The sequence below is a fragment of the Homo sapiens genome, chromosome 19 (assembly GCF_000001405.40).
Source record: "Homo sapiens chromosome 19, GRCh38.p14 Primary Assembly".
Lineage (NCBI taxonomy): Eukaryota > Metazoa > Chordata > Mammalia > Primates > Hominidae > Homo > Homo sapiens.
Window position 1 is genome coordinate 39602051 of NC_000019.10, and position 11256 is coordinate 39613306.

General features: G+C 42.4%; 1 protein-coding gene across 3 annotated transcripts; it reads left to right on the top strand.

The window, feature by feature from the left end:
- Positions 1-473: 473 nt before the first annotated feature.
- Positions 474-5424, top strand: LGALS13 (galectin 13). 3 transcript variants are annotated; one of them, XM_024451474.2, is made up of 4 exons: positions 474-1974; positions 2552-2628; positions 3128-3338; positions 5173-5424. In XM_024451474.2, the coding sequence occupies exons 1-4, from the start codon at positions 1867-1869 to the stop codon at positions 5287-5289; spliced, it is 513 nt and encodes a 170-aa protein (XP_024307242.1). In that variant the 5' UTR covers positions 474-1866; the 3' UTR covers positions 5290-5424. The 3 variants fall into 3 exon arrangements, with proteins under 3 accessions (XP_024307242.1, NP_037400.1, XP_011525176.2); NM_013268.3 differs by having other exon boundaries at positions 474-533; XM_011526874.3 differs by lacking the exon at positions 2552-2628 and having other exon boundaries at positions 474-533; positions 3141-3338.
- Positions 5425-11256: the final 5832 nt, after the last annotated feature.

The window sequence follows — 11256 nt, forward strand, 5'->3', positions numbered from 1 at the left end:
TCCACAGATCCTCCTGAGGATCAAGGTCAGTGCTCTCCCAGAACGTTCAAAAGCAGAGAGAATCATTACCTTCTAGGGCTAATGTATTTCCCCAAAATCTCCAACTTTTTTCTTTTCAGCCGTTGTACAAATTGGGAAAATGTACACTTTCTGGGTATATTCTGCATAGATGAGAAAAGGCTTGAGAGGCATAAAGGCTGGGCTTTACAACCACTACCGCTCACTCCATCATCTTTATCTATGCATTTCCCTGGTAACCCAATCCACAGCCTGGTAACTCCCCCACTGTCACTTCTGCTGCATTACAGATACAGACCTGCAAATAGCTATGGTTGTGACTGAGTTTCTTCCTAACAACTAAACCTGTCTAAAGCTGCAAGGAAATCTTGCTGGGAGGAGCTTGGAATCTGGAATGAAGCCCGAGGGCAAGGCTGAAGTGGGTCATTTAAATGCTGCAACTCAGAGATTCACTCAGAAGACTGGACTCAATTCTGAAGGTCGCCAAGAAGGAGAGAACAATGTCTTCTTTACCCGTGAGTTGAAAAGGCACAGCCTTCAAAAATTTCGTGTCACACAAACCAAGAAAGAAATGGGAGATTTTATGAGATGAAAATATGAGCATTTTTGCTGTGAATGCTTTACTTAGAGCTATTGAGGTGTGGAATAGAAACCCTGAGGCTATGGTATCTGAGATGCTTGTGGGGATTGCGGTGTGGACCCTGGACCAGTGTAACCTTCGGTGAGTGTGAGGTGGTGTCTGATGAGCATAAACTCTGCGGAGATAATGTGACTTTAAGTGGGAGGTGGATTACCCACCAGGACGAGCAGGTGTGTGAATGGAGAGTAAAGGGGTGAGTCGGCTTTGTTTCCTGTCTATGATGTGAGTATGTGTGTGAGCACAGCCAGACCAGTGCATGAGCATCGTTATGTGCACAGTGAGCAGGTGTGTGTGACGCAGTGAGTGGTGTGGCTCTGTGTGACTGTGAGTGTGTGTGCTGGGATGTGACTGTATGTTGAAGTGGGATCATGCATGTGGCTTTCTTCACATGTGAATGTTTCTCCCCACACAGCAGCACCTCTGATGTGAATCCCATGTGGCTTAACTGGTGGGGATCTTGGGGATTGTGAGTTACCAAGGACTTATTTCAGATCACTTGTGAGAGCAGAATGTATGATCAGTAGATGTCTCTTCCCAGTAAGAGTGGGGAAGAGGAATGCAGACTATGGGGGTGATGGTTCCTCAGGTGGGGTCTGCACAGAGTGACCACTGTCTCTTGCCTCCCAGGCTCAGCTTGCCTGTCCCTAGCCCATCCAGTTCTTCCCACTGTGTGACAGGAGGGTGTGCAGATACTGGTTTGTTAGGGAAGGACATTAGAGGCCGTGATTTCAGAGACTGAATCACACAAAATATCCACTGTAAGCTCTGTCTGAACTGAGACTAAACTTGTTCTACACCCATGAAAGAACAAGTTAAGTCTCAGTTCAGAAGGAGCTTACAGTGGATATTAATCAACCAAGCAGCTGGGTTCACTGGCTTATGGCTATAATCCCACCAATTTTGGAGGCAAAGATGAGAGGATAACGAGGCCAGAAGTTTGAGACCAGTCTGGGTATCAGAGTGAGACCCTTTCTTTAAAAAACTTTAAATATTTGACTGGCAGAGAGGCAGGTACCTTTCTTCCCAGCTATTCAAGAGGGAGCAGATGTGTGAGATTCACTGCAGCCCAGGAGTCTGAGGTTTCAGTGAACCATGATTGCATCCCTGCATGTCAGCCTGGGTGACAGAGCAAGAACCTATCTCAAAAGTACAGAAAAATCATCTCATCTACTTGTAGTCATCATAGAAATCAATCATTCCCTCCAGTTATGTCCCTGACCCACAAGCTTCATTTGTGCAAGTACTGGGGCTGTGCTCTCAGTAGTGTGTGCCCCTTCTTGGAAGGATGTCCATGGCCCTTGATGATAGTGATGCATGTGCATCCCACACACAGGGGTTTCCTGTTCTTTCATCATTTCCCTCTCCCTTTCAACAAGTGTTGTTTCTCACTGGAGTGAATGTTTAAATTCTTACATTTACAAGTCTTGTTTTAATTTTCAGAGTTGAAAATGAAGGCAGGTCAGTCTTTCAAGAGGACTCTCCTGTCCTGTTAGGTCACCCTAAGAGGCCCTACGCATGACAGGGATTAGGGTAACACTTTTACATGTATTAACTCCCTATTACGGAGAACATCCTACAAAGTAGAAATTCCTGATAATCCTCGTTGTCCTAGGGAAAATGAGGGAGAGTTCAAGTAGCAAATCTAAGACTGCACTGCTAGTAAAAGGCAGAATGAGGACTGGAATCCAGGCATCCTGGCTCCTGAACCCTTGCTCTAACTTATGGGTCCGCCATATCTTCAGGAATATGGGGCCCTGAATGCGGTAGGGTTAAAGAGGAGAGTCCACAGAGTCTGCCCTTTCATCTCCAACCTCCTGCACCATGAGAATATGTTACAGGAGGGGAGACTGCACCTGACCCTGCACCTCTCACTTACTCTCAATACTCTGGCAGGTGCCATACAAACTGCCTGTGTCTTTGTCTGTTGGTTCCTGCGTGATAATCAAAGGGACACCAATCCACTCTTTTATGTGAGTACTCCATGGTCCAATGGAGGGGTTGGAGAAGAAGGGAGAATATTTGCGAAGATTTGACCTTACATGTGGGTGATGTGGAAATGTCTAGTTGGCAGAATGGAGGCCCCATGCAGGTGCAGGTCTTGGAGACCCTCCAGCACCAGGCATGAGACCCACAGCAACTGCATGTGGGCCAGCCATGGGGCCTACAGGAGGAGAACACTCAGTGGGTTGGGGCTGTGGCTCTTTATCAGGGGGCATAGAATTTTCGGGAATGAACAAGTCATAGGCCCAGGTCAGTGACTGTGGCTCAGTTTTCATCTGGGGATGAGGAGCACAGAATCTCCCTGCCTGGGGGCATGAGGAGCTGAAGCATCCCCACAGGGACCTGGCCATCAGTATTATCTGGGAGACTTTTTCCCTAGGTAAATGGGGGAAGGGATTTGTGTGTGTGTCGAGTGTGTGTCTGCGCAAGGGAGGGACCTGCCCAACATTCTGCGTGCTTCACCCTCAGCAATGACCCACAGCTGCAGGTGGATTTCTACACTGACATGGATGAGGATTCAGATATTGCCTTCCGTTTCCGAGTGCACTTTGGCAATCATGTGGTCATGAACAGGCGTGAGTTTGGGATATGGATGTTGGAGGAGACAACAGACTACGTGCCCTTTGAGGATGGCAAACAATTTGAGCTGTGCATCTACGTACATTACAATGAGTATGAGGTGAGCATCCCAGGAGCTCCCAGCACCCAGGCTCTGTGGGCTCCCAAAACAGGAGGCAGCTCTCATTGATCTGGCCTCAGTAGTCCGTCAGGGTCCATCTCCCATAACTACTCCTGCCCCTGGTTTTCATCACAGAGCACCCCCTGCTTGCACTGCCATCCTCAGCTCTTTCCCAAATCTGACCAATGTCAAGGTCAGCTCACCTGACATTTCCCCCAAAGTAGATAATCTCCTCTGTCTTTTCACATACTGCTCATTTCTACTTATGCCATTATTTAAATTTTCATTTAGCTGAGTGAATACAATATACTTCAGGAAAAAAAAGTTTAAAAAAAAAAGGTTGTTTTAATCAGTCACAAATTAAGTCTTTGTCTCATTTTGGGGCCCGAATTCTACCATAGGAAAAACATTACCAGAGCTCTGCTTTCATTCAAAGAGGTTTTGTTTGTTTGTTTGTTTTTGTTTGTTTGTTTTCTTGAGATAGAGTCTCATTTTTCATCCAGGTTGGAGTGCAGTGGCATGATATCAGCTCACTGCAACCTCCACCTCCTGGATTCAAACAATTCTCTCGCCTCAGCCTCCCAAGTAGCTGGGACTACAGGTGTGTGCCAGCACACCTGGCTAATTTTTGTATTTTTAGGGGAGACGGGGGTTCACCACTTTGGCCAGGCTGGTCTTGAACTCCCCACCTCAAGTTATCTGCCCAATTTGGCCTCTCAATATAATGGGATTACAGGCTTAAGCCACCATGCCCAGCCCTTCAGAGGAAATTTTTGCTTATGGAAGCATATAGATATGTCTATGATTTCATTTGTTTTTAAGCAAATCCTGGTATAAGTTGCTCTACACATTACGCTTCAAGAACTAAGTTGATTTGTTGCCAAAGAATATATATTGAAGACATTATCAATCTGTCGTGCTGCTTCAGTTTTTAAAGATTGCATAATATTGTGTTAAGAAGTTTACCCAAAGTTGTGGAACTTGGCCCTTTTGGGGGCACTAAATTTCCTTCCAGTATTTTGCTCTCACAAATGATGTCGTATTAAGTTTTCTAATCAATCCTTTTGTCATTACCAACCTCCCAATACTTGTACTAGAAGATAATTACAAAAAAATGGAAAAACTGGCTCAAAAATGTGTGCATTTTAAATTCGAAAAATTAATACTAATAAGGTTACTTTCTCTATAGCCTCAATATAAAGAATACATCCATACTTTCTGGCTTTCTCTAACGAGTAGGCCAAAACATTCACATCTTATTCAGATTCAAGCGAGGGATCTTTTCCTATGCTTAGAAGTTTTTGAAGGTAATATCCTGTTTCACAAGAACAGTTCTCCTTTCATTCTATAAGAACCCTGGGTTTCCTTCTTTGCCACTAACACCTCAGATGTAGGTTACTCCAAAGAGAAACTGTGCCATCAGTAGTGAAAAACAATCACAGTTCATGGAACTGAAAAGTATGCATTCAACGAACATGGTCTAGCACTAACCCTGTGGCAGGTCCTGTGCGAGATGCAGGGTCTCAAGTTCCTGAGACACAGTCCCTGGCGATGGGGATCTTCCAGGTTAGAAGGGAGGCTGAGTAAGCAAAGACTTTGTGACACAGAGTATAGAACTTCGCTAGAGGAATGAGTGGAAACATTAGAAATAAAGTCGGGTACTGTCTCAAATAGGCACAAAACGTCATCTGTAAACATAAGTGTATCTAATACGTTAACTTGTATAACTAGGAATTTTCTTGGGGAATGTTATTTGTACCAGGACAGAGTGGAGAGGAGGCCGAAAACTTGTTTGGTGGCATGCTTTCTTTCTGATGCATTTTTCCTCTTGTAGATAAAGGTCAATGGCATACGCATTTACGGCTTTGTCCATCGAATCCCGCCATCATTTGTGAAGATGGTGCAAGTGTCGAGAGATATCTCCCTGACCTCAGTGTGTGTCTGCAATTGAGGGAGATGATCACACTCCTCATTGTTGAGGAATCCCTCTTTCTACCTGACCATGGGATTCCCAGAACCTGCTAACAGAATAATCCCTGCTCACATTTTCCCCTACACTTTGTCATTAAAACAGCACGAAAACTCACATGATTTGGTTCTTGCTTTCAGAGGGGAAAAGAGGAAGTTGTCATCCCCAAGGGGGGCCAGGGCATTCTATGGGAGGCATCAGGAAATCAAAGGGGATAAACCTTCCTGTGACAAAGGGAGTGAGTGACAAGGTCCGTGGAATGTCTGAGAAGACATTAGAAACAGCATCCTTCTATAGCACGTAGTTGACCTCAGACAGTCTGAGCTAAAATACTTACCCAATCTCAAATGACTCAAGGCACTTAAATGTTAGGTAGCTGTTTACAGCCACGCAAGTGTACATGGTGGCTTTGGGGAAAATCTGTAACTCGAGGAAAATTATGTGGAATTTCTTAATTTTTTTCCATTGTTCTCAGGATGCTTACTGTGTATGAACACTGTGCCCGGCTTTGTGCGGGCTGCTGTGAAGGAACTGAAGAAAAAGATGACAAGTTTGCATGTGAAGTTTTCAATCCAAGTAATAGTTTAGAGAATCACTGGAGCCCAGTGATTTCCCTTAAAGAATCCCAATTATTCTTATTTTCAAATATTTGAAAATTGCTTCATTTTATGTGGGGAGAATCCAGGGGTTTCTCTTTGGAAATGAATGGTCATGATTTGAGATCAGAGAACATATAGATTATTATTGGAATAGATACAAGTCACGTACATTGACACAGTGAGCAGACCCTTATTTGTTGCTTTTCCAGTGATGAATTGCAGCACAGCAAACCTCACAACACACATCGGCTAAAAGCAATCATTTATTTTGATCTCTCCCCGCTTCACAGGTTTACTGAACTTAAGTGAGTGGTAGATTATGTGACGGGAGTCGCGTTTTCTGAGAGATCTTTTAGGCTGGGATTTCAGAGGATGCTTTACTCATGTCCAACTCAACAGCAGGACTGGGTGAACACATAGAAACTGGGAAGCTGTCTCCTTCAATACCTCACCTTCCCATGCATGACATTAATTTCCTAAAATCAGGAGAGTCTCATGGTTCTGGGACTTAATAAATGGTGATTGGCTTTCACCAAAGAAAGCCTTTCAAAAGGCTCATGGAGAAGGTGCACAGCATCACAGGACTTACCTTTGAATGGCAGACAGTGTTACTTCTAAGGTTTTACATTGATCAAGGTGAGTCATACAGACGGCCCTAATCAAAAGGAGAGGACTCCACAAGCTGTGGTTATTGTGACTGTAGTCATGAGGGGCCATCCTTGGCAACTAGTTCCACTCAGAACTAGTTCCCACATACCGAAAACACTAACCATGTAAGGAATCTCAGGCTGGGCGCGGTGGCTCACGCCTGTAATCCCAGCACTTTGGGAGGCCGAGGCGGGCGGATCACGAGGTCAGGAGATCGAGACCATCCCGGCTAAAACGGTGAAACCCCGTCTCTACTAAAACTACAAAAAATAGCCGGGCGTAGTGGCGGGCGCCTGTAGTCCTAGCTACTTGGGAGGCTGAGGCAGGAGAATGGCGTGAACCCGGGAGGCGGAGCTTGCAGTGAGCCGAGATCCCGCCACTGCACTCCAGCCTGGGCGACAGAGCGAGACTCCATCTCAAAAAAAAAAAAAAAAAAAGGAATCTCTGAAGGCATTACAATTGCAAAAACAGGCTCAGAGTAAAGTGCAATATCTTATCTGATCAGGACACCGTGTCTATGATGTGACTACAAATTATCACTTGCAATCCCCTGCAACATGTGCACCAAGGGGGCACATTATCTGCTTTATACTAATCAAAGAAGACTGAACGAGACAGGAAAAGTGCAATGAACACATATATTTTAGATGGGCAAAAAAAAAAAAAAAAAAAAATAGACAGCAGTCACTAATCCATATTTTTGCTGAAACCAACCAGAAAACTATTTACATTTTCTCTGGGAATGTTTTTCTGTAGCACTTGTCCCCACCCTCCATTCTCAGTTTCTTGGAGTTCCTACCAAGACGGCAGAATGACAGCCCTTTTCCCACTATAAGAGCTGTGATTATCTACTTCATAGCATGTATGGAAAACCACTTAGGAGAACAGAAACAACATATTACCTAAAAATCCATGAAGCTAGAATGAAGAGAGTTCCAGAAAATAGCGTCTTTGTTTGCAAGGACCATCTTAGGTGTCATTTTGATCATTATTTTCTCTCCCCATGTTCATTGCAACAGTTTCTGCAACTCCAACCTCACTCATGGGTATGCCTCTCTCCTTACACTTCCTTTAACCTAACTTCCAGACACTTTGAGGTGCCAACGCACAGTGAATGAAACTCTTCATGCCTCTCTTCCTTGTTTCATTCCAGGATGGAATAAAATTCCCTGCCCTCTCACTGGAAACTCTTGCGTTCTGATTAGGTACACTCTTCTCCATACACTTATACAGTCTTGATCACTTCTCATTTTGATAATGGATCATAGACCCTATCACCAGCATGGAATTCATTTCTTTGGGAACTATGCAGTTTGTGCTCTGAGTGGATGAAACCTATCCTGGAACCCCTGGCTTCCTGAACAGAAGACAACTTGGAGTTTATATCTACTTGCTGCTTGCCTGGCGCCCATTTTATGTGAATAACCAACAAAGTCCTAAATTTCAGCCCTGCTAGGCAAACACACAGTGACTGCCCTTTCTTGAATGATATTCACCAGCTCAGTGCACTTCCTATGGGCCATTCGTTACATTCATCTTTATTCAGCTACTACTCTGAGCTCATAGTGGCCAGGAATGACATCTCAGATACAAAGAGATGACATAGAGTCCAGGGCCAATGTTCAACTAAAAATTTTTGAATTGCCTCTGGAAACCTATTCAACATCTTTCTTCATCCTGCTCAATCCAAATTCATGATCTTCTCCCAGCAAATAGGGCATTGCTCAAGAAGCAGAAAGCCATTTCTGAACTCTAAGGCCTCCTCATCTTAGGTCTTTTGGTCTTCCCAGTTATTGCTGAAGCCCCCAAAGAATAAGTATACTCTGTGATAATATTGCCCTTGAAGCCCAGTTCCCTCAGCATTGCTATTCCTTTGGGATGCCATCTGTGATGCTACTAAACACTGGTGTATGTTGGCCTCTATTTGCAAGTGAGGGGTCAAGAAGATGGAATAAAAGAGAAATTTAAAAAATTTTCCCCAATTTATTTATGTTTACCATTTTTATTTGAAGTTCAAGTGTACATGTGCAGGTTTGTTATATAGGTTAATCCTTTGTCATGCGTGTTAGTTGTACAGATTATTTCATCACCCAGGTAACTAAACAAAGTACCCAATGGTTATTTTTTCTGCTCTTCTCTCTTTTCCTACCCCTCCACTCTCAGGTAGGCCCCAGTTTGTGTTGTTCCCTTCTTTGTGTTTATGAGTTCTCATCATTTAGCTCCCACCTATAAGTGAGAACATGCAGTATTTTTTTCTGGTCCTGCATTACTTTGCTAAGGATAATGGCCTCTAGCTCTACCTATGTTCCCGCAAAAGACATGACCTTGTTCTTTTTATGGCTGCATAGTATTCCATGGTGTATATGTACCACATTTTCTGTATTCAGTCAGCCATTAATGAACATTTAGGTTGATTCCATGTCTTTGCTATTGTGAACAGTGCTGCAATGAACACTTGTGTGCATGTGTCTTTATGGTAGAATGATTTATATTCTAATATTTATATGTATTTTTATTTCAATAATTTTTGGGACCCAGGAGGTTTTTGGTTGCATGGTTACATTCTTTGGTGGTGATTTTTGAGACTTTGCTGTACCCATAACCTAAGCAGTGTACACTGTACCCAATATGTAGCATTTTATCTGTCACCCCTCCCACCCTTCCTTCGAGTCTCCAAAGTTCATTATATCATCTTAATGCCTTTGCATCCTCATGGTTTAGCTCCCACTTATGAGTGAGAACATACAGCATCTGGTTTTTTATTCCTGAGTTGCTTCACTTAGAACAATGACCTCCAGTTGCATCCAAGTTGCTGCAATGGCCATTATTTCTTTCTGCTTTTATGGCTGAGTAGTATTCCATGGTGCATATTTACCACATGTTCTTTCTCCATTTATTGATCCATGGGCACTTAGGTAGATTCCATGCCACTCTAAACATGTGTGTGTATGTCTCTTTTCTATATAATGACTTCTTTTCTTCTGGATAGGTACCCAGCAGTGGAATTACTGGATCAAATGGTTGTTCTGCTTTCAGTTCTTGAAAGAATCTCCATATTCTTTTCCACAGTGGTTGTACTAGTTTACAGTCCCACAAGCAGTGTAAAAGCATTCCATTTTCACCACATCCACACCAACATATATTCTTTTTTAATGTTGTATTTATGATCATTCTTGCAGGACTAATTTGGTATCTCGTTGTGGGTTTAATTTGCATTTCACTGATGATTAGAGATGTTGAACATTTTTTAATATGTTTATTGGCTGCTTGTATATCCTTTTTTGTCTCCGTACTAAAACATTATTTTATTTTTATGTTGTTTTTGAACCTATTAATTCAGTTTATTTTTTTCCATAAATTATTGGGGTACAGGCGGTATTTGGTTACATGAATAAGTTATTTATTGGTGATTTGTGAGATTTTGGTGCACCCATCAACCAAGCAGTATACACTGCATTATATTTGCAGTCTCTTATCCCTCACCCTTCCCCAACACTTCCCTTCAACTCCCCATAGTTCATTATATCATTTTTATGCCTTGGTGTCCTCATAGCTTAGCTCCCACATATCAATGAGAACATATGATGTTTGGTTTTTCATTCTTGAGTTACTTCACTTAGAATGATAGCCTTCAAATTCATCCAGATCACTGCAAATGCTGTGAATTTATTCCTTTTTATGGCTGCATAGTATTCTGTTATGTGTGTGTGTATATATATATACCACAGTTTCTTTATCCACTCGTTGAATGATGGGCATTTGTGTTGGTTCCATGATTTTGCTACTATAAATTGTGTCACAGTAAACATGGGTGTGCAAGGATCCTTTTTGAATATTGACTTCTTTTCCTCTGGGTAGATACCCAGTAGTGGGATTGCTGGATCAAATTGTAGTTCTACTTTTTGTTCTTTAAAGAATCTCCACACTGTCCTCCATAGCAACTATACTTATTTACATTCCCACCATCAGTATAGAAGTGTTCCCTCATCACCGCATCCATGTCAAATCTACTGTTTTTTGTTTGTTTGGCTGGTTGGTTGGTTGAAAAGTTGGTTGGTTGGTTGTTTATTATGGCCATTCTTGCAGGAGTGAGGTGTTATCACATTGTGGTTTTGATTTGCATTTCTATCATGATTAGTGATGTTGAGCATTTTTTCATGTGTTGTTTGTCCAATTGTATATCTTCTCTTGAGAATTCTCTATTCATGTCTTTAGCCCATTTTTCAATGGAATTGTTTGTATTTTTCTTGCTGATTTGTTTGAGTTCTTTGTAAATTCTGGATATTAGTCTTTTGTCGATGCATAGTTGTGAATATTTTTTCCCCACTCTGTGAGTGGTCTGTTTACTCTGCTGATTATTTCTTTTACTGTACAGAAGATTTTAGTTAGGTCTCATTTATTTATTTTTGTTGCATTTGCTTTTGGGTTCTTAATCATGAATTCTTTGCCTAAGCGTCTAGAAGAGTTTTTCAAATGTTATCTTCTTGAATTTGAATGGCTCCACATCTTAGATTCAAGTCTTTGATCCACCTTGAGTTGATTTTTTTATAAGATGAGATGAGAATCCAGTTTCATTCTTCTACATGTGGCTTGTCAGTGTTCCCAGCACCATTCATTGAGTGCGGTGTTCTTCCCCCACTGATATGGTTTGGATCTGTGTCCTCTCCCTAATCTTACATCAAATTGTAATCTCCAACGTTGG

Excerpts from the sequence above, each read along its gene's own strand:
- LGALS13 (XM_024451474.2), top strand. The coding sequence starts at position 1,867 with ATGTCCCTGACCCACAAGCTTCATTTGTGCAAGTACTGGGGCTGTGCT. Across the intron at positions 1,975-2,551 it reads CCTTGATGATAGTGATGCAT|GTGCCATACAAACTGCCTGT; the intron begins GTGCATCCCACA and ends ATACTCTGGCAG. Across the intron at positions 3,339-5,172 it reads TACATTACAATGAGTATGAG|ATAAAGGTCAATGGCATACG; the intron begins GTGAGCATCCCA and ends TTCCTCTTGTAG.